Below are 23,444 nucleotides of genomic sequence, written 5' to 3'. Positions count from 1 at the left end.
ATGAGCCCTTCAAATGGAACATTACACTTGGCACTAAATTTGCCAAAATGAAATGACTAGGCCAGGTCAGGTGTGTCGATATCCATGTGTTCATGAAAACAGTGCTGTTTGCGTGTACTAAAAAAAATTTCTCCATTTCCTACATATGAAAATGTTTTGAATTTATACAGTGCCTTTCATCTCAGGAACTCCATCCTCTATAATTTGTTAGCTCATTAACAAATCATAGCTCCCCTATTAATAGTACCTTATTTTCATTTGTGTCCCCAAATTTAGCCATAAGAGAAAATGTAAGGGCTAGAGATGTTTACATGTTTTAGTTTTTCAATTTTAGATATTATTCAGCCACCATAGCCCTCAAGGAATATCAAATTGCTCATGAGAGTAAAACTATGAGATTTCCCTTTAAACTAAACAGTTGAAACATATCCAGTTTTTCTTTTGAGCAAGGAAAGAAAATAAACCTGAGAGAGACAGCTATATTGGGCTTTATAAGCATGCATAGAAATTTTAACTCAAAAGACTCTTTTCTCTATTTCAATACATATTGCAAAGAGGTGAAACTGAGAGGTGACATCTGCCTTGTGTGGGGCGAGTGGCATATGCATCTGGCTGTCCTCTGTTCTGCCTCTCTGGGGCATCCAGTTAAGACTGGAATGGCTCATCTATGCCCCACCAAGAGTGCATGCAGCAGGCTCTTTAGAAAGTGCTCACTGATTTGAATCCGGCTTTAATGGTCTAAGTAAACAAAGTCTTAAGCAGAGAGAAATTGGGATGACATTGTCTATCTCTCCAACCTAGTATTAGGAAATGTTTCATTCTGGTCATTTCAGAGATGGCAACTTAATATCATCATCCAAAACATTTTTTTAGTCAAATGCTATTTCAGACCCCAATAATTCAGATTGTATACTTTGGGTTGAAGTTTATAGTTCATGAAAGAGAATAGGGATGAGATATTTGTGGAAATATTTAAATTACTTCAGAGACTTATTTCTAACTTAGAATGGATTTCTTTTTGTCTACCCAGGCTTCATATCCCCTTATCTGGTAAGAGCCCTCAAGTTTGTTTTGGAGAGCTCCCCCTCCCTCCCTGGGGACAATCTTTGTGGTCTACCAAGGAAGGTGCCTGGCCTCTCTTTGCCAAGAAATAGGCTGGGGGCCCCAGTTACAGCAGTCAAACACCTTTCCCTGCAAGAGGAGTCTTGAACCAAGTGCTTCAGGCACTGAAGGCGGTGTTAGAGTAGAATTACTGACAGTGGCACTCAGGGGACTGTCTGTGAGTTCCTGTTCTCCAAACTCTTGGGGCTGCACTCTCCAAGTCCCCCTTCGGACTGCCTCTTCAGCTGTTCCTCTAGCAACGGGCTTCCCCACAGCCTTCCAATGTGTTCTCCTTTTCCTCTGGGTTAGTCAGAGATGGAATCTGTTGCTTGCAACCACAGAATCTTCAAATCTTCACAGACCAAGTACAACTTGATATGCCGATTCTAGGTCAGCTTGATCCATTCATAAAGCAGGTATGTTAAAACTCTGTATGGAGCAGGACACTGCTCAGATGACCACATGAATTCTTTAAAACAATAAAATTGAGTTGGAAAAGTTTGCTCTCATTCTTACTGGCTTCCCTTTGGTCTCTGACAGTGTAGTTTTAGTTGATGGTGAAATTATAAATTATGAGAAGATTCTATTCCTAATAGAATAGATTCCTATATCTTCTCCTAATTTATAACTAGGAGAAAAGAACTTTAGATTATACTGAAAGGGAGAGAGCTGAGCTTTCAATCAGAAGCTCAAGACACAGACAAACTAGTATCTCATGGAGAAACCAGAGGTAATAAAAATATTTTCAGAGCTCTTTTTTATCCTCATGTTTCAAAATAAAAACATAAAAAATCAGGCTAAGGCAAAGAACAACCCACGCAAGATGACATAGAGGAAAGGACCTTGAACTCTGGGAGGCGCCATCCAAATGTAAGGTAGCAATCCTACCACCTGAGCCGTTAACTTGCCAGCTCACCTTTGCCAGGGACAAGGGCCATCCTCAAGGCTTCCTTCAGAGAGCTGTGCCCATGTAGGAGTCTGTGGCTGGGCGAGATGGCCACGTGGGAGGTGCCATAAATGGCTTCAGGGGTGGCCGTATAGGCAGTCAGCTTTTCGCCCGTGGCTTGCCCATGAACCTGGTGATAGGAAAGAAGAGTGATGTCATTTCTCAGTCCTCCCTTTGGGCTGTGTTGCTCCCTAACTGTATCCCCTTCCCCTTCCCTCCTCATTCCCCAACAGTGACCACAGCTCTGACCACTGGGCCAGGGGTGTGGGGATTGAGATGGTGCCTGGAAGAAGCTGAGAAGAGGATCACAGTTCCTCTTTCAGAAACACCCCCTACCACTTGCCCCACACCAGGCATGCAGGCATTCCCAAGTTGAAGGTGGTCCAAGAATGCTCAGAAAGATACTTTCCTGGTTTTTCTGGCTCCTTTGTTTACAAATCAAAAATAACTATTAGTGTTATAGTGTTTGTGTTCTGAGAAAGAAGCTATATTTTCTTCAAGGATATAAGGGTACGGTAAAAAAAAAAAAAAAAGGCATCTACTTTTCTAACAAGAAAAACAGGTGCCAAGGTTATTACTGCTTTGAAGAGAGAAAGGATGGCCTGAGCTGAGTTCATGACTATGAGTCCCTAGAGCTGGTTAAAATGCCTTTTAAGGAAGAGGCACACATTAGCCATCCACTGAGTGCCAAATAATGTGACAGACATGGAGGACACAGAGTGGACAGGTGCTACTTCCTTCATGCATTTATTCAAACACATTGACAGAGTGCCAATAATGAACTAAAAGACAGTCTACCACTTGGCCTAACTGCCAATTAGGTGTCACCTATGGAGCCAGAATTGGGGACACAGAGGCATAGATGTGGTCTACCCTGTAGGACTGAGATGCTTCCTTCCTGAGACACTATGTTGCCCCATCTTATTTTCAGGTGGTTCCAGGAATGGAGATAAAAACATGTTCACAGTAAAATGTTGGGCAAAGAAGAAAGTGTAGAAGATATTCCACACACAGTAGCTGACAGGCCCAGAGACCCACACCGAATGCTAGTTAAGAAGCAAAGGCCTTCAACATGAGGACCAGACTCAGGCAAATGCAAAGGCCCTGAAAGAGATGGCCTTGCAGATTTAAACACAAGTCACAGCAGGACTGAATTTCAGAACTCTCGCCACCTTCTTGGGAAAGCGGTAAGAGGAAAAGCTCAGTCCAGGATTTGTATTGAAATGTTTCCAAAGTACACACTCCCTTATGGGAGGCTTTCCATGTTTGCAGTTGGAGTAAGTTGGATCACTTTTGTGAGGAGGCTGCACAGGGAATTATAAGCTGAGTGGCAAGCGGCAGGTGCTTGCAGACACCAGGTATGGTTGTCAGCAGGCAAGAGTCTAGAAAGGAAGGCCAACTTTGTCTCAGCTGCTGCTTCCTCCTCCTAAAGGTTTTGACGGGGACGAAAGTGAGGGCAGGTTTGACGCTAAATGAACAGAGCAGAAAAGTCTTGATGACAGAAGGAGAAATCAGAAGGATAAAAAAAGAATGCCCAGGTAAAAAAAATATCAATAGAACAACTCTCTAGTCAGTAGAGACAAAGAAGTTTTAGGGACCCCTTCTAGAATAGGTGGGCCTTATGTTGTGACCTTTCAGCACTGTTTCCACAGCAGTTTCAAACACAATCCCTAAGCTCTAAGTCTATCTAGTTTTGAAATGATGTCACAGTTAGCTTCTGCTTCCCTGGCTTTTAATCTGCTTTGTGACATGAACCCCTTTGAGACTATAGTGAGAGTAATGGACCCATTGCTCAGGAAAATGCCCAAACATTTTGCACATAAAACTTCAGGGAGTTCATGGACCCCTGAAGACCCTCTGTGTCTGTGCTGTCCAATATGGTAGCCAGTAGCAATATGTGGCTATGAATCATAGCACTTGAAATATGGCTAATGTGTACTATAAATGTAGAACACAGATTTCAAAGACTGTACTAAAATGTAAACTCTTTCTTTAATAAATCATTTTTTATTGAGCCCATCTTTAAATGGAATCATTTTGGTTGTAATGGGTTAAATAAAATATGTTATTGAAATTCATTTCACCTGTTCTTTGCACTTTTAAAAAATGTGGCTACTAGAAAATTTAAAATTGTACACGTTTGGACTGTGGTGCTGTGGAGTCCCAAGTTGCTGGTTTACTCAGTGAGTCCCAAATGTAGAGGAGATTTGTGATCATGAATTGCTGGAGCTGCTATTACTTAATCACCTTTAATGTGAAGTCCAGGTGGCAGCCCACACAGTCCCCAATCCAGTGGGCTTGCATGCCTTTTATTCCATACCATTCTGGAAGGTCTGCCAACGCGTCCTGCATGGCCTGTGCAAATGAAAGGAGAACAAAGAAGTAGAGGCACAAGGCTTATTTAAGAAAAAGCAAATGATTTGCAGCTTGTTAAGGTAGGAAAAGCAGGGACACTAAAGAAGATCCAGGATTTAGCTCTCTCCTTGTTCACTAAGTCAGAGGAAGCCAGGAAAGGTTAGAAACAGATGCATTCATTATGACTCAGTTCAGTGAGATGGGTTTGACCGATTTCGCTGTCCCAAGGGAGTCACGGTTTCACGGAAAGAAGAAAATTAACAAACAAAGGTCATAATTCACATCTTTGGCAAGTGTGTCTAGTACATTCTCTCCCATAGTCTAGGAACTAAAAAAATTAAGTTCAAGTTTATGAATTTTGAAACCCTAAGTCATTCATGAGTGTTCCACAACTAAACAATATCATACATAGGACATTATAAATTTTATCTTTGCATTTAAAAAGTATTAATTTTATAAATATATAAGGGAAACATGACATTAATTTGTATAAACATTTGGCTACAGCACAAAGATTCCTATGTTAATGTGTGATAAAAAAAAAAAAAAAACAACAACAGGCCAGGTGCAGTGGCTCACGCCTGTAATATCAGCACTTTGGCAGGCTGAGGTGGGCGGATCACCTGAGGTCAGGTGTTTGAGACCAGCCTGGCCAACATGGTGAAACCCCGTCTCTACTAAAAATACAAAAATTAGCCAGGCGTGGTGGTGCTTGCCTGTAGTCCCAGGTACTTGGGAGGCTGAGGCAGGAGAATTGCTTGAACCCTGAAGCAGAGGTTGCAGTGAGCCGAGATTACACCACTGTACTGCAGCCTGGGTGACAGAGCAAGACTCTGTCTCAAAAAAAAAACAAAAAACAAAACAAAAACAAAAACACACACACACACGCACCCAAAGCATCTTTCATATTTGTCATCTATCTATGCAAACTATTGCTTTAAAATAATTCAATAGGCTATATACTTATATGATCACCCATATTTCATTTTACAATAAAAATGAAAAGCAACAACAATGACAAAAACATAACTGCTAAGTTTGTTATTGTGTAGGCTGCAACTCTTAATCCCACAGTGCTCCTGATCTGAATTCAGAAAGTATGGCACAGGGAAATGTTGGCCTGTGATCTCTATGGCTCTAATGCAAACTCTGATTTTTCTTTATATTCCACACAGGGCCTGGCCCAAAGCCTACAACTGTGCCTTATCTTGGGCAAATGCTCATTAAATTACCATTTAATTCCCTGTACTCAAGGGAGAGAATTAGAGAGCAGTACTACAGAAGCAGATCCCCAGGCATCTGGGAAGGGAAGTAATAACCTTTGCAGAATACTTCCTAAGTACCAGGCACTTTTATGTATGTTGCCTCATTTAATCTTCACATCAACAGCACAAGTCAAGTAGTAATACTCCACATCCCAGATGAGGAAACAAGTCTCAGAACTTTTCCCCAAGTCACTCCACAAGTATGGGATAGAGCTGTGGAAGCAACACTTGAAGCAAGATGTAGCTGACTCCCAAGTCCATATTCAGTCTGATACTCTGCTATGCAATTACTACTTTATAACAACAGTTCTTAAATTCAGCTTTCCCATATCTGTATTTCAGATGGCTTCAGCTTATCATACTCTAACTAAAAGGCATGTATTAGAGATCCATCTGCTTCTATTATCTTATTTATATTTTTATTTTATTCCTAGAAGGAAGACTCTGGTCATAGAGCCATGGGGCTGACATTGTCATCAGAATCCTCTCTCTTTATAGATGAGGACAGACAGGCCCAGGAGAGAGCAATCTGCCCCATATCACTCAGCTAATTGGAACCAGGCCTGAGACCACTGTACTCAGGTCTCTTGGTTCATTACTCGCTTGAAAGGGGACAAACTTGCCACCACATCCCACTCCCTTCCCCACTGACACTAAGGAGTATAACCAGTCATAGGCTCAGTACAGTTTCAGAACACTGTAGGGTGACCCAGAGGCACAGGATCAACTGGCTTAAATGCCACACCAGATTGAGAGGCTGGAGATGCTGGTACCAATGGCAGCAATGGCTTAACCAGACCATTTTGGGAAAAGATTGTGGCTGTGCCCTTGTTCTCCCCTAATTTCTGCCTGAGCTTGGATCCCCGGCATTCTCATTCAACTGTGAGTAACCTGATTCTCTTCTAATCAATTCCTCCTTGGCTTAAGTTAATCAGAGTAACTTTATGTTGTTTGCAACCAAGTTGCCTAACTAACATCAATGGATTATAAAAGTTTCAACATCCTGATACATATATATCTATATTAGCTGATACAGTAATGCCTCGATGTCATTGTAGCAAAAGTAGATCTTGAATATGTTAATTATATACTAATATGTTAATAAACAATTAATCTTCTAATAAAATTAAGTACTCTAGAATGCTTTTCAATTTTTAGAGCAATGTAGGGGGTCTTAAATGTCAACGAGCACGCAAGTATATTATAAACTTTGAAAATGACCAATAGCTTTTCCTCTCCAAAGACCAATGAGGCTCCATTTAACTTCCAAGCAAATCCATATGTGGTCTAATGGGATCTGATGTCTTTCCATCATATCAAATCCACATTACATGATCTGAAAATTGGCTCAATCTCCCTGACTAAGTCCAATTCTGATAGCACTTTACGTCCATTCCTTTACCAGCATTACCGAGCCACTAGTGTATTCACCCTCTCATTGTGCTTTTTCTTCTAGATGTAATCGTCAAGGCTGGGAAACTTCTTATGGAGGTACCTTGCTTAAAATATTCAGATCTTGATGAGGATGACAGATTCAAATAGGATGAAATGTGAATGTTTTCATATGCTAATTCTGGAACAATGCCTGCTTAAAACCTAACCAAATCTATGAATATTGTGAAAAACCAAAAGAAATTTTTAAAATTAACTAAATGAAATCAACATCTCGAACAACTCTGCAAGCTCTTTTCGGTCCCCACTGTATAATAAACACATGATTCATGACTGTTTTCTGATGAACAGGGCTTCAGAAAGTACCTTTTCCAATAGCTGCTGATAACCTTTCCTTCAATCCTGGGCTGGCCCAGAGCAGGGCTCCACCAGAATAAGATGTGAGTAGTTACGGTGCTACAGCTGTTTAAAGAGCTATTTTTGTTTTTTTGGGGTTTTTGTTTAGTTTATATCCTTCTTTTTTTTTTTTTTTTTTTTTTTTTTTTAGTGTTGTAATTACAGTGATAGATGGTATTCGCCTCATTTCATGTCTTTACATCTGGCAGACAGGACTGGTACGTGTACCTCTTCCATATACTGGCCAATCTTAAAATCCCACTGGCTCACAGAATCCAAAAACCTGGGAAAATATCAGGTTTTTAGATTCTTTTTAAAAGTGCTATGAAACCTTTTTCAAATCGAATCTGAGGGAACCCAATATGTAAGAGTTGAAAGAAATGCCCTTTCTCTCCTCTAATTCCTCAATACTTCCCTATCGACTCCCAAGGCTTTGAAACACTTTGGAAATCATTAACTTATTCAATGCCTCTCATTTAATAAATTTTAAAAATGGGGTTGAGAGGTCATGTGATTTCCCTAAACTCCATCAGCAGCAGATCCAAGATAATGAATTATCCAGATCTTCTGATTATAAAGTTTCCCTGTGGTTGCCATTTGGCCTATATAGAAGTAATGTGGTTTGCAAAGGGGCCTTAAATCCGTTTGTGCTAGGATGTGTCTGAAAAGACTGCCACTGTCACTCTAGGGTACACCATCTGAACGAAGATGTTTGAAGAAATTGAAACAGAACTAGGCATTCATGAGTCAAGATGAGCCAGTGTTTAAGAACATGCACCAATAAAAGATGGGCTGAAGTAACATCCAATCAAAAAGGTTTTACTAATACAAAATACAATCAGGAATAAGAGAGAGAAACATTAAAACTAAAAAGCTGGGGATAAAAAGAGGATTAAATATAACGCGGCTAATATGACTTTCTCTTCAAAGAAGCAGAAGTAATGCTAAGAATAAATCCATACTTCCTAAGACAGAAAGTTGAGCTGAAGCATTAAGAACAAGGTACGACATGACCACAAATGAGAATTCTAGAAAAAGTGGGTTTAAAACATGATACGTTTTAGAAGACCCAGGTAAAAAAAAGTGCAAGCAAACTGAGAAGTACAGACCCTGTAAAACAAGTGGATGTATTAGCTACTAAGGGAAGGGTGGATAATCAAAAACCTTAAGAGCTGGACACAGATTTGAGAGAATGGAAGACACAAGATTGAACAACAACATCTAATTAAAATGTACACTTTTTAAAAGCTTGACACTTAGCATACTTATAAATTGGTATGATTTGATTTGCAATTATTTTTGAATTATGATTTATATATATTTTTCTAAAACTTACTCTTGTTGCCAAAATTTCTTTTTTTGGTGGGGGGGGAGGCACAATATATAATTAAGTTCTAAAAAAGGAAAACCAATTATGAAGGCAGCAAGATGTTTAAAAATATAGACATTCCCTCTAGAATGTGCTGGAGGAATGACCTTTCTCTCGCACTCTAGTCCCCTGTCCTGCTTTGACTCTGGCATGAAGATTTATACATTAAAAAAACCCGGCCGGGCACAGTGACTCACCCCTGTAATCCCAGCACTTTGGGAGGCCGAGGCGGGCGGATCACGAGGTCAGGAGCTTGAGACCAGCCTGACCAACATGGTGAAACCCCGTCTCTAACAAAAATACAAAAATTAGCTGGGCATGGTGGCAGGCACCTGTAATCCCAGCTGCTCGGGAGGCTGAGGCAGGAGAATCGCTTGAACCCAGGAGGCGGAGGTTCTAGTGAGCCGAGATAGTGCAATTGTACTCCAGCCTGGGTGACAGAGTGAGAGTCTGTCTCAAAAAAACAAAAAACAAGAAAACCCATTTGGCATGATGTTTACCTTGTTTGACTTTAGAGAAGACATGACAAATACATAAATATAGTAAAGCCTCCCTATGATAGCCCTGCGTCAACCTCTCATTGGAATGTGATATGTATTCCAAGCAAAATCCATTTGTTGTAGCATCACAATGCAAAACATTTATTTGCAAATACCACTGTGCTATCCAAGAATCTCAATTCCAATGCAGGTGCTGTTAACCCAGCAGGGAAATAATCCATTCGGAGCAAGGCATCCTGCTAATGATATATGACTTGCCAACAAGGTGTGGTTTCATGGGATTTCAGGGCAAGAGGAAAAGAGGCACCAAGCAGCCACACATACAAGTGCACAGCCCAGAGCTATGGGAAAGAGAGGGACAAACCAAGTGCTTTATAGAATAGCTTCCAATAAGAGGACTCCTATACATGTAAATGGTGTCACTGGTGCTAGAAAAGAGGGATGTGCTTTCTAGGTATGCCCATCAGGGAATGCCCTGAGGATTTCATTACACAGCCCCATGTACGTGATCTGTGGAAAAGGATGCAGTAAAGGGAACCAGGAAGTATGGCAGCAGCCAATTTGACTAATCTCTTCTTATCCACATATCCACTCAGGTTACACTTATCCATCTTTTCTTTCCCCCTCTGACCCACCTTTTCAGCAGCAGAACAATTCTAATTCCACTAACTTTGGAGAGAAGGTGACTACAGGTTCTCAAATGTCACCACTACACTGGTAAGAATGCAGACGATGAAGGCCAAACTCTCCTAATGACAGAGCCACCTGTCTGATGAGATTGCTTCTGATTCTCAGAGCCACCTATGTCACCTCCCTGCCCCTGGGTCTACAAGATAAGAGAGAGGCTTCCACAGGAGAGGGAGGGAGTAGTCCAATAGCTACAACTTGAAAATTGTCCTCAGCCTAATCTGTGGCATTGACTATCCTTGCCTGAAAAGTGGTCTTATTATTCCAGGAAAGGGGAGTCTTGAGGGCAAGGCTGAAAGCTTTTATTGGTCTAATCATAAAAAACAAAATGGTAACAGCCATCCCAGGGGACATTCTACTCACTTACCTTCAAGTTGGAAGCCTCCCTATAGATTGAATATTTGCAAGAACATAAGACCATCCCTTTCTAAGACACTCAGGTCTAAAGAAGATGTGTAAATAAATGATGATCTAACCCGGATATCATGCTGTTTTATTTTATGATTATCAAAATGATAATAATCTTTTTTTTTTTGAGACAGTGTCTCACTCTGTCGCCCAGGCTGAAGTGCAGTGGGGTGATCTCGGCTCACTGCAGCCTCGACCTCCTGGGGCTCAAGTGATCCTCCCACCTCAGCCTCCTGAGTAGCTGGGACTGTAGGTGCATACTATAGGTGAACACCACCACATGCAGTTAATTTTTGTATTTCTTGTAGAGATGAGGTTTGCCAGTTGCCCAGGCTGGTCTTGAACTCCTGGGCTCAAGCGATCTACCCACCTTGGCTACCTTGTTGAGATTACAGGCATGAGCCACCTTGCCCAGCAATAATCTTTTTATGGAAAATTTGGAAGAGAAGAAAATTAACAATTACCCACAATTGGTCAAAATACCCAGGGAGATGACTATTAATATTTTGTTTTATATCTTTCCATCCTACTTATATTGCATCTTCTATTCACTCTAAGACATACATTTTCCCAAAAACTCTGACACTGGGACATGTCTTACAATCAGTGGTATCTTACAATATATTGAGAGCATTTTTCTTTCTTAATGGAGCATTCAATTTAAAACTAATCATGTCAGGATTGATAAAATCTTGTATGTGTGTTTATATATATGCTTTTACATAGTTAAGAGCATGTTGTTAATATACTCTTTTAAAACTACAGAATGTATTTTACCTGAGTTTTCAACTTATTACAGCTCTACTGTCTCTATTTTGAGCAAATCTGACACTTAGAGCTAGCCATCTGGTAGCAGTAAGCAAATACACAGAGAAGTGGAAAGGTGCTGTGGAAAAGTGTCTCTCTGCATAAGAGAATGGTTATTTTGAAAAACACAGTATTGACATGTATGTATCTGTTAATGACTATTTGCTTCCTTCATAGCAGCAGCCATTGGATCGGTCTTTACTGGTCTCTCTGCAGCTGGGCTCAGAAGAACCCAGGGTAAGGACAGAGCACTGGAGTAAATAATGACAAAAGCAAGACAGAGAGGACAATGAGTCAATTCCACCAAGAACAAAACAGAAAACCTCTAATCACCACACTTTCCATTACCTGGCCATTTGTGCCCATTCTGTACTTACTGCATTTCCTATCGCTAATGTGCTGCCTTCCTGCAACACACGCTGACTGGCTATTGTCTGCACATGATTCTCAGAAATACTCAGTTGCTTGGGAACTGTCCCCAAGAGCAGGGGTAAACAATGCAGGTGAAACCCCGTCTCTACTAAAAATACAAAAATTAGCCGGGCATGGTGGCAGGCGCCTGTAATCCCAGCTACTCAGGAGGCTGAAGCAGGAGAATCACTTGAATCTGGGAGGTGGAGGTTGCAGTGAGCCGAGATTGTACCACTGCACTCCAGCCTGGGAGACAGAGTGAGATTCGGTCTCAAATAATAATAATAAAAAAGAAGGCAGGACTGGGACTGAGGAGACCCAAGTTGGGTTCTGGCCCTTCCCTGCTCTTGGCACCTCAATTATATAATAAGATGTGGGCTGGGTCAGCAATTTTCAAGGATGGGACACACACCTCAGGATGGCAATCAGCCCCCTGGGAAGGAGTGAGAAGGACATGATGTGGGCCGCTCAAAATAACGCAACACCTTATTCATTTATTTTAATTTGTTTCCAGACATCATATTGATTTTGCAATTTCAAGCAGCAGTAAATGCAGGCATGAGGGGTTTTCTGTTTATTTGCTTTTATGTTTTTCAGATCAGGGCAGGGATTAAAAAGAGACCCGAGCTAAATGCTCTCTCAAGTTTCTTCTAGCTTTGAAGTTCAAATAACTCTCCAAGCTGAAGAGGTTCATTGGTGACACTCACCAGGCCTGTGCAGCGATCCCTGAGACCCCTCAACAAGAGGCTAAATACATCTCTTCCCATGGAGTCCAGGCTGACACCTCAAGAAGACCTGTACACCCAAGAAACAGGAGCTCAAAAAGGCCACTCAGGGTTCAAAAGGAACACAAAATGCTTTTCTATCTTTATGGTTCCTGATCAAATTTACAATGTATTTCATTGTCCATATACCATAAGAAGTATACTATTAAATTATTTCTTCCATTTTTCCTTTGCAGTCATTCCATCTTGGAAACAAAACATGAAAACCTTTCTCTTTGCAGAGCAGGTTGCTGACCCAGAGACTGCAGAAGTTTTCTTTTATTCTCATACATCTGGAGTACATGTACCAAGCATACCTGTCTTTATTTCCCTGACAGGGACGGACAGTGGAGTGTGCGCAAGAAGTCAGGGCTAAGGGAAATGAGATGATGATAGAGAATTGACCTAATAGAGACTACATACAGATGTGACTAGGCATTGGTGGGGGACATCTGGGAGGTCAGCAGGAAGGCCCTGCATTCAGGGAGGGAAACCTGATGGCCTGTACTGTCTCTGTACCATTTAGAAACACCACTGGTTTCTGAATCCCAGAGCGAAGGCCCAGCCCTGTACCAACCCCTGGAGGACCTTTCCTGGAGGAAGTTCCCTCTCAGGCCTGCTGAGAGCCAGCCAGGTGCCTCCTCCCAGCATCTCGCCTTGGCCCCGGGCTGTTATTAAAGATTTTACTCCCTCTATTCAGGCAGCTTTTTGCTTGCCTGGGAAGTGACAGGGAAAAGCCAGCCTCAAGTTGTCTACTTTTCTGTGGCCTCTGTGCCCTTCCTACCCCTGCCCAGTCCCATCCCTAGAAGGACTTCTGAGGGGCTGGCTCTCCCAGTAACAACTTCCACCTGGTCCCTGTGGCACTGGCCACTCTGGCCAGCAATCATGCTGAGGAGGGCTGAGAGCATAGGATGGAGGATAGAAAAGCAGAGAGTTCAGTTTAGAATAGCTTAGGAGAGAAAAGACGCTGGAGAGGCAGGGAAAACAGAAAACAGAAGCAGGAGATATTATGTAAGAAGGAGCAGAATTTAACTATTAATTAGCTTTGTGAGACAGGGAGTCAAAACCAGATCCCTGGGACTGGGAGCAGAATCTACTGTAGCCAAGAGAAGAGACAGCCCCAGCATGAGGGAGAATCCTGGCAGGGAGGCTGAGGGCTCTGAGGGTGTGGCTCAGCACTGGTCTGAGAATAGGGGTCCAGAGCCGGCATGGGCTCTGGCCTCCTACCCCACAGTATCTAATCATTTTTAAAGTGAGGAGGGATAAAGCCACCCTCAGCCCTGTCTGACCACAGAGGGGCATGGTGGGGATAAATGCAGTAAGAGCTTCGAAGCCACAGAGCTTTTAAGAAAAAGCCCTCATTGTAGATAAACCCAAGCAGCATCATCATCACCAAATCCCAGCCCTGGCCTGGTCCTCAGAGCCCTGCAGAGAAGCTGACAGTTTGCTAAACATTTCTCACTTGCTCCTCTCAGTTCTGTCATTTTGCCTCTTCTGCCAACATCTAATTTGTGCTGCCGCCCCTCCCCCTTAGAAGGCGCAGTATGCACACACAGGAGGAGGAAGTGCTTTGACGCACAAACAGGAGGAGGTGCTTTCTTGAGGTCAGAGGGCAGAGTAGGGTCAAGTTACCAAACTTCTCTAACAATTCCTTTGCAAAGCTTCTAGAGCAACACAGGAGTGACAGGGGTGAAGGGGATTAAGGGGACGATGTGACTGGAGAGGCACTTCCTGGTGCTACCTGTGACCCAGCCTCTGTTCTGGGGCTGAGACAGGATCTGAAGTTACGAGCAGAAAGCCAGGCAAGAGGCCCAATTTCTAGAGGGCAGCCAAATGCTTTCATAAGTATCCCAGTGCCTCAGAGGTGGAACAAAGGTCCCCCTAACGGTCTTCATTCCAGAGTCCAGATGACTCTTGGAGGCTGGACCCTGCCTCACTGCTTCTCTGAGGCTGTCTCTTCGCTCTAACATCCTCCGCCACCTCCTCCAAAGAACTCCTGGCACAAACTTCCCTTCTCTCCCCTCACCTCCTCTTTCCTCCAGCCCCATGTGTGCATGCTCTGCAGGGTAAAACAAGACCAGTGTGTTCTGGTAAAGGTACCTCTGCTTTACCCACAAGCTCACAGGTGAAATCAGGAGGACAGGAACAAAGAGGGCAGGGAAATGGGCGCTTATTACCTCCAGTGCCCACTGATTTCATAATGGCTCACTGTTGCCCATCTGCTTCTCACCAGCAGAAGTTCATCCTACTTAGAAATCCTTGATGAAGAATAAGGTTTCCTGCACATCTGGAGGGCAAGAAGATGCTCCCTTGTAGACATTCTGTGCTTCCCATCTTTCACCACTTCCTCAGTGATACCTCCTTGGACCGCTGGGCAGATCTGGGGCTCCTCCTCCTCCTCGTCTCCCCTGCACTCTTTTGCAGGAGATGTGACAGCTCATGTCTACCACTGTCTGTGGCACTAAAGTCTAAGCTCCTTAAAAGCAGAGACCTCAGCTGCTCTGTCTGTATTCTTAGCACCCTGCCTAGGGTCTGGCCAGGCACTCAATAACATCTCAGGAAAAAAAAAATGAATGAATTCAGACCACAGAGAAGGAGGAGAGACTGCGGGTTAACAGCTCAGCTGCTCAGATTTGAATCCCCATGCTATTACTTATTACTAGTATGAGCCTCAGTCTGCTCATCAGTAAAATGAAGATAAGAGGAGTACCTACCCTCAAAAGATTAAAGTGAGGGTTCAGTAAGATGGTACAAAGAAAGGCCTGAGCCCTGATCTGAGATAATCAGGTAGGAAATGAGAGGCAAACACAGACTTTGTATTACAGCAGCTGCCAAGTAACTCCTGAAAACATAACCACCAATTTGGTATGGGGGTTGACTAAGCACCATGAAGGCATGCTTATGTCCATTTAACACCAAGGAGGGGCGCGTGCATGGTGCCCAGGGGCTGAAAGCCTGCAATGCAGCCGAGAGGGGCCAGCGGAGTCAGCAGGAGAAATCAAAATCACAACTCTAATAGAGAAATTCAAATGGGAGGCCTTCTCTCTATTTGCCTCTCCTTCCAGTTGTCACTCTGCTGCCAGGACTGAGGCATTCCATCAGACTCTGAATCCCTTTCGCTTGCTGTATATAAGGCTCCAATCCATCCTCCTCCCCTTGCTGTCACCTCAGCAGTGCTGCCCACAAGACACCGCCCACACAGCTCTGCCAAGACTAATTCATGTTCTTCAGATACTCCTACTGCAAGTTTTCTTTTTCACAGAATGAGTGGCTGAAATCACTTTTAATGTTTCACAAAGCAAACAATCCTAGGAGGACTGGGTTGGGGGTAAGAGGAGAAAAATCAAATATATCACAGAACAGCCTGAATAAAGCATCTTTATCTTGCTGGGTTCTCTGTAATTTTCACATCAGGCACTGTCTTTAAAATTAGGAAGTTAAGTGAATGAAAGGAGGGCTCCTTCACAGCCATGCGCCCAAGAAGACCACAGTCATACATCACAGAGGCAGCCCACAGAGCTGCAAAACGAGATGCAAATACAAAGCTCTAAAGATAACTGTGCGGGCACAGCTTACTGCCTATCCCAGCACCTACTGCCCATCCTCTTCCCCCCTCCAGCTCAACTACAGAAGCTAAAAAGCCCAAGCCTGCTTTCCTAGTCTCCCTTGAAGCTGGAGGTGGCCAAAACACACTTGGGGCTAACAGGACATCAGTGGAATTCTACTGGGGATTTTTGAGGAAGTTTTTGTTTTCTAGACAAAAGGAACAGTTTTTGGCACTGCCCCTTCTGCTTCTTTCTTTCTTTCTTTCTTTTTTTTTTTTTGGTAGAAATTGGGGTCTCGATATTGCCTAAGCTGGTCTTGAACTCCTAGGCTCAAGTGATCCTCCCACTTCATCCTCCCAAAGTGCTGAGATTACAGGCATGAGCCACGGTACCCAGCCCTTTTCTTCCTGTTCTGAATGGAGACACGATGTCTGGAGCTGCAGCAACCATCTCGCCTTAAGGTGACAGGAAGAAAGGGCCAAGAGAACTACTGAGATGACAACCCAGAACCCTATCCCAGTTCAGTCTTGGCAGCCTGTTATGTGGGTACAGTAATTTCCCATTTGTTTAAGCCACCATTTCTCAGGTTTCCAGCTGCTTGCAGCCGAAAGCATTACTAACTGATTCAACATCTCAATCTTATCTATATATAGCAGGACTTCTTCACTAACTCAAGACGATTTTTATCATACCAGGTTTTAAAATAGATGTCCTATCTCACTCAATCTTTGAAGTTTTGGACCTAATTTCCCAAATAATTTCCCAAATAATCCAAATAGTAATTTTCCTATTATTTCATATCTCTACTCAAATATCTCCTGGCCATTTCAAACTGAAAAGGGTCAGGACTATGTCTCTTCCAGGACTCCCTGTGTGCTATTCAAGCCACGGCTTCCTTGATGTTACCATCTCCTACATACTCTCTTCCAATTTATTACCAAGCTCTATGGATTTTGCCACCTGAGTATTTTTCTAACCTACTCACTTCTCTCTACTATTCTCACCCACATCTAAATTTTGCATGCCTGGACCATTGCAATAGCTTTCTAACTGGTCTCTCTGCATCCACACTTGCCCTTCCTTCCACAGTGATCTTATAAAAACATAAATCTGACCATGCCATTCCCTTCCTTAGAATCCTTTAGTGGTTTCCTATGGTCCCCATGGTTAAAGTGCAAATTCCTTAAGACCTAAAGGCCTTGCCTGATCTAGCCCCTAAACATCTCTCCAGCCCTATCTTGAGCCTTTCTGCTTGGCTCTTTTCACTTAAGCTACAGTGTCCTTTTAGTTTTTCAAACCCATCATATACTTTTCTGTTTTAAGGCCACTACACATGCTGTTCACTACATAGGTGTGTGAGGGGGGAGCTTCCCTGAAGTTTCATGTCTACCTAACCCTTACTTATCCATCTGTAGCCCCAAAGAGTGGATTTTTCATTTCAGATATTAAACTTTTATATTCTAGATTTCTAACTGGTTCATTTAAAAAAAAAAAGTTTCTACTCTCTCCTGAGATTCCTCATCTGTTCATTCATTATGACCATGTTTTCCTTTAAGTCCCAGACCATTTATATAATAGATGTCTTTGGCTTTATTTACTAATTCCAACATCTGGGTCATCTCAGGATCTATTTCTATTGGAATGCCTTTTTTTCCCCCTTGATTTTAGGCCATAATTTCCTGCTTCTTTTCAAGTCTAGTAATTTTTAATTATATGTTGGACATTGCAGATACAACGTTGGGAGTCTGGATTACATTGTCTCCCTTTAAAGATGTTGAGTTTTGTTCTGTAAGTTCCTTTTGAACCACTCAGGCTTATTTTATTTTTTATTAAAATGAGTCTATTTTGATTTTGTCATTAGTCTTAGGGTGTCATCCCTACTCTAATACATGGCCTTTTTGGGGGTCTCAACTATATACCCTTGGCTGAGTCATAATGCCAATGTTTTCCAGTACTGCACAGCCCCCTCATGTCTGTGTCTCTGTTCTGTTCTCAGACCCATAGCATTGTTCTCTGTTAGGCTTCATGGAGTCTTACTCTCCCTCTTCTCCAGATTTTCAGAGTAAACCAAGTGCTGACTTCAAAAGACAGTTTTTTCAATACATCTGCACAGGAGTTCAGCAAGAACCAGGTGAGTCACCATGGTAACTAACCATTTCCACTGAACAGTTGAAAATTCACAGCTGACAATTTAAAGAATAATGCTCCTCAGTTAGGTTATTACATTTTCAACTAGAGGCAGAGGTCAAAACAAAAGAGCTAATTAGGTGGACTTTCCAACAATGCCTATAACAGAATCATCTGACAGGTCCAAGAGGTAACCAAGCATCCTTCCCAGTAATGTAGTGGACCCCAACTGTCAGCAGACAGGGGCTCCCACTGCTTGGGGTGTTAGAGAATGCAACATCCTCAGCTTTGTTCTTCACATTCAGTCTCCAATATTGCTGTGCTTAAAAGGAGCAAGGCACCATGTTAACAAGTTCTAATGAGCACCTCTCCAAATCCATATGCTATTCTCTGCTGCATTCAGAATAAATGAAAATGGAAAAACAACCTCATTTAAGACATGTCTTTTATGTGAGGAAACTAGAGGTCATATTTCTGTATGGCATTGGTATTGTGAGTTGGCGTCCTACAATTCTAATTCACAAAGTTTTGTAGTGACCATGGGATATTGAGAACCTTGTGCTTTCTTTGTATGTAAGAACAACAGTATTGGATCTAACCCAGAGTCCATTTCAGTTGATACTCACAAATCAACTCACAGGCCACCATGGAAGGGGACAACTATACTTCTTATGGTGACTACCACAGGGGAAGAACAACATGACATGCCATAAGTAGTCCTTCATGATGCCCTTACCTTTTCAGACCCTACTTATGTCCAGTCTCATGCATGCATAAGAATACAAAGGTCACCAAATTGCCATGTGAATGTCCCTAATTTGCTTTAACCATTTCTCTCTGGAGTTTCAGGGAGTGACCCCTCAACTCCAGCACCTTGAAACTTGGTAAGCTCAAAGGGCAAATTGCACAGAGTGGTTCCAGTACCTACAGAACCGATTTTTTGTCCAGGCTCTTGGTGACTTAATAAGCAAGCCCCTGCTTTCAATGATTGGTTTTGCCTTGAATCTCTGAACACGGAAAGAGCTAGAAGGCACCTTAAAGACTGCTTGGTCCAACCTGCTCATTGTATTGATGAGAAAACTAAGGCCCAAGAACCAGTTTATCAAGCTTTAGCGCCTGGCTTAGTTCATTTTCACTTGGCCTTCTCTCATGGAGGCCGGCCATCTCTTCAATTCTTTTAGATAATCTCTTCTGGACCTCCATTGAAAAATTTAAGCATGTGAAGTCTAGAGTTGGGTGGGAAAGACATGCACCAAAGTTAATAAACCAAAAGTCCATTTACTTATCTGAGATTTCATTCTATCTTTCTGGAGGTCTCATCAGAACTACACAGTTGAAGACACTTTTCTCTCTCTTTTTTTAAAGGCCCCCCTCTCTCTTTTTTAAAGCTTTATCACTGATATAATTATGGATGATTTTTGACCTCTGTGGCAGTAAGTTGAAACGTCAGCAAACAATGGCCTACAATGACCTCTAGGTGCTATACTTGACTTACAGTTGAAGATACCAGCCCATCACCAGCTAAGTGAGTGATGAGGCTCAGCTGCTTCCTGTCTGTACATCCATGGCTCCCAGCCCTTCCTAGAGCTCAACCCCAACAGTGAGGCTCTCTCATACCCAGAAGCCTTTGGTGTTGCCTGCCAGCATGTAAGGCATTAGTGGGGAGCCTCCAGGCTGACACTCACCTTTGCATAAGCGGTTGTCTTAATAAACCATTGTCTGAGGTACTTCTGTTCCACCTTTGCTCCAGAACGCCATGAACAGCCATGTTCATCCACCTGCTCATTGGCAAGCACTGTTTGATCCACTGGGTCCCAGTTAACCAGGGCCTGTATAATTCATGAAACAAAATGGCACAATCTGGTGAGTACTCTTTTTTTTTTTTGACAGGGAGTGTCGCACTGTCGCCCGGGCTAGAGTGCAGTGGCGTGATCTCGACTCACTGCAACCTCCACCTCCTAGGTTCCTGTGATTCTCCTGCCTCAGCCCAAGTAGCTGGGATTACAGGTGCCCACCACCACACCTGACTAATTTTGTATTTTTAGTTGAGATGGGGTTTCACTATGTTGGCCAGGCTGGTCTCAAATGCCTGACCTCGTGATCCACCCGTTTTGGCCTCCCAAAGTGCTGGGATTACAGGCGTGAGCCACTGTGCCTGACCTAGGTGAGTACTCATTTTATGAGACCATCCTCAGGTTTCTTACATGGGAGAGGGCCTGCAAATGCAATGACTCTGCTCCGTGGAGTACTGCTTGGTAAAGAAACCACTTGCAAGTTGTACAAAGAACACATTAATTTCCTCTGTGCTTCCATCTTATTACAATAGGCTTGGGAAGGAAGCCTTTAAGGATGTGTCTAACTCAACTTTGGTATCTTATATGAAAGGATGAACTTATAGGATGGAAAATTTTAGCAAGCAGAATAAAAGAAGAAAAAATGGTACCTATTTAAAATTTGACAGAATAGGATTATTTTAGGGAAATAAATCTTCAGTGTACAACTCGATACATTTTTACAGTTACATACTCATGTAACCATCACTCATTTCAAGATAAAGCACATTTCCAGCACCCTAGAAAACTCTGTTGTGCCTTCTACCAATCAATACCTGCCCCCACAATGGTAGCTCTTCTGAGCTCTGTCTCCATGGATTCATTCAGCTGATAGAGCACATAAAACATGTAGTCTTAACTATTATGAAGATTCATTATCTCATAGAGTTCTAGTTAGTGTCTATCTTCATTTAAAATAAATAACTCTGCCATCTACATTCACGCCTTTATGACATTCAGGTACCACTTGGTACAAAGAAGGGAATGAGTACAGAGGGGTGTGTTGGGGACTTAAAATATCCTGACTTCATACACATTTTTTGTAATTTTTTTTTTCTTTGAGACAGAGTTTTGCTCTTATTACCCAGGCTGGATTGCAATGGTTGCAATCTTGGCTCACTGCAACCTCTGCCTCCTGGGTTCAAGCGATTCTCCTGCCTCAGCCTCCTGGGTAGCTGGGATTACAGGCATGTGCCACCAGGCCCAGCTAATTTTGTATTTTTAGTAGAGATGAGATTTCACTATATTGGTCAGGCTGGTCTCGAACTCTTGACCTCAGGTGATCCACCCGCCTTGGCCTCCCAAAGTATTGGGATTACAGGCGTGAGCCACCAGGCCTAGCCGTAAAATTTTTAATAAGCAATTCTAATAAGAGATTGTGTTCACTATTACCCATTTGCCCCTCCAGACCCTCTTCCTGCCCTGATCTGTGGCCCAAGAAGTTGACCTCTGCGACCTGCATTCCCTTGGACCCTTATCTTCCGGTTGGGTTCAACCAATGACAGGCACACTGGCTGCTTCCTGGCCATGGGCTAGCAGGGGTCATGTGCCTCTAGTGAAGGTCATCACCTCTGTTGGGCAGGTCTCCCGTGCTGCTAAAGCTACTGCTCTCCCAGGTTCTATTAACTGCCCCCTGACGTTGCCCCTGCAGCCTACAGGCAGCAAAGGCATCCTTCTGCTGCCAGGGTCAAACGCATTGCCGTCCCTTCTGAGTTTCCCTGAACTCCACACAAATAGTCCTTCATCAAATTGTCTTCAATGACTCCTTTCGGGTGTGCTCTCTCTTTCCTGCTGGGACCCTGACTGATCCAGAGACATGTCTAAAAGTTACATAAAAAGTAGGGGTGAGGGGAGGCTAACCTATCTGTGGGTTGTAATTTGTGGGCTGCGATTTTACATATAGAAGCAGTACCCCCATTGGAAAATTTAAGTATGTGAAGTCTAGAGTTGGGTGGGAAAGACATGCATTTGTTTCCCTTCTAAGATAGGGTTCCCAAAAGCCTTGACTTAATAAGCACATAGAGACAAAATATGGGACAAAAGTACCTTAGATCTAAAAACTTTAATGAACCAAAGGTCCATTTCCTTATCTATTATCCCTGCCTGTATTAGGGGGTTGGAGAGAAGGGTACCACTTAATTATTTCTTCTTTTTTTTGAGACAGGGTCTCACTCTGTCACCCAGGCAGGGGTGCAGTGGCACAATCTCAGCTCACTGCAACCTCTGCCTCCTGGGTTCAAGTGATTCTCCTGCCTCAGCCTCCCGAGTAGCGGGGACTCTAGGCGCCCACCACCACGCCCAGCTAATTTTTGTATTTTTAGTAGAGACAGGGTTTCACCGTGTTGGCCAGGCTGGTCTCGAACTCCTGACCTCAGGTGATCTGCCTGCTTCAGCCTCCCAAAGTGCTGGGATTACAGGCGTGAGTCACCACACCCAGTCTTAATTATTTCTTTTAAAACAATTATTAATTGACAAATCATAACTGTATTTATAGAATACAGTGTGATATTTTGATATATGTACACAATGTAGAATAATTAAGCAATTAAAATACCCATCACCTCACTTACTTAACATTTTTTGTGGTGATAAATTTACTCTTTCAGTTATCTCGAAATATACAAAACATTATGACTGACTAGAGTCACCCTCCTGTGCAGTAGATCTCAAAATGTATTCCTGCAGTCTAGCTGAAACTTTGTACTCCTGACAGTAACTTCCCATTCCCTTGCTCCACCCCTACCCCTCCAGCCTCTGGTAACCATCATTCTACTCTCTACTTCTATGAATTCAATGTTTTTTAGGATTCCACATGTAAGTGAGATCACATGATTTTTGCCTTTCTGTGCCTGGATTATTTCATTTAGCACACTGTCTTCTAGATTCATCCCTGTCATTCCCAAATGACAGAATTTTATTGTTTTTTGAAGCTGAATACTATTCCATTGTGTATATACTCCACATTTTCTTTATTCATTCGTCTGTTGATGGACACTTAGGTTGATTCCATATCTTGGCTACTGTGAATAGTACTGCAGTTAACATGGGTGTACAGATATCCCTCCAACACACTGATTTCAGTTCCTTTGGATATACTCCCAGAAGTGGGATTGCTGGATCATATGGTAGTTCCATTTTTCATTTTCTGAGGAACCTCCATACTGTTTTCCATAATGGCTATAGCAATTTACATTTCTACCCACAGTGTACACAGGTTCTGGAAGGGTTCCACTTAAAATAACAGGTAGAAAGAAAGGACCAAGTACTGCTTAGTAATGTAGACAGTTCATTCAAGAGGCATCTCCCCACTCCAGACAACCCATGCACAACTAAAACTGTATGAAACATAAAAGAAAGGTAGAAAAAGAGCACCGTATATCCCTCCACCTCTGTCTCTTGTCCCCGGCAAACCTCAGAGGATTTGGAAGAAGTGAATACTTGGTACTGCAGATTGCAAGAACAAATAGGACTGTATTTTCTTATCTACATTTCCCACATGGCCTGGCATCTCTCAGGCTCTAGATTACAAAATACAATGA

The 23,444-nt window shown here is 42.7% G+C and overlaps 1 protein-coding gene across 6 annotated transcripts in view; it reads right to left on the bottom strand.

The window, feature by feature from the left end:
- The window catches only part of LARS2 (leucyl-tRNA synthetase 2, mitochondrial), a 160,832-nt gene that overhangs the window by 70,763 nt on the left and 66,625 nt on the right, over nt 1-23,444 (bottom strand). For all 6 annotated transcript variants that reach the window (NM_015340.4, XM_017006042.2, NM_001368263.1 and 3 more), the window contains 3 exons: nt 19,759-19,902; nt 4,295-4,402; nt 2,018-2,177 (listed from right to left, as the gene is read on the bottom strand). In NM_015340.4, the coding sequence (NP_056155.1) occupies nt 2,018-2,177; nt 4,295-4,402; nt 19,759-19,902 (412 nt within the window). The remainder of the gene's footprint in view (nt 1-2,017; nt 2,178-4,294; nt 4,403-19,758; nt 19,903-23,444) is intronic.

This window comes from Homo sapiens, chromosome 3 (genome assembly GCF_000001405.40).
Source record: "Homo sapiens chromosome 3, GRCh38.p14 Primary Assembly".
Taxonomy (NCBI): Eukaryota; Metazoa; Chordata; class Mammalia; order Primates; family Hominidae; genus Homo; species Homo sapiens.
Note: the sequence above shows the minus strand (reverse complement) of the source record. Positions and strands in the feature narration are given on the sequence as shown.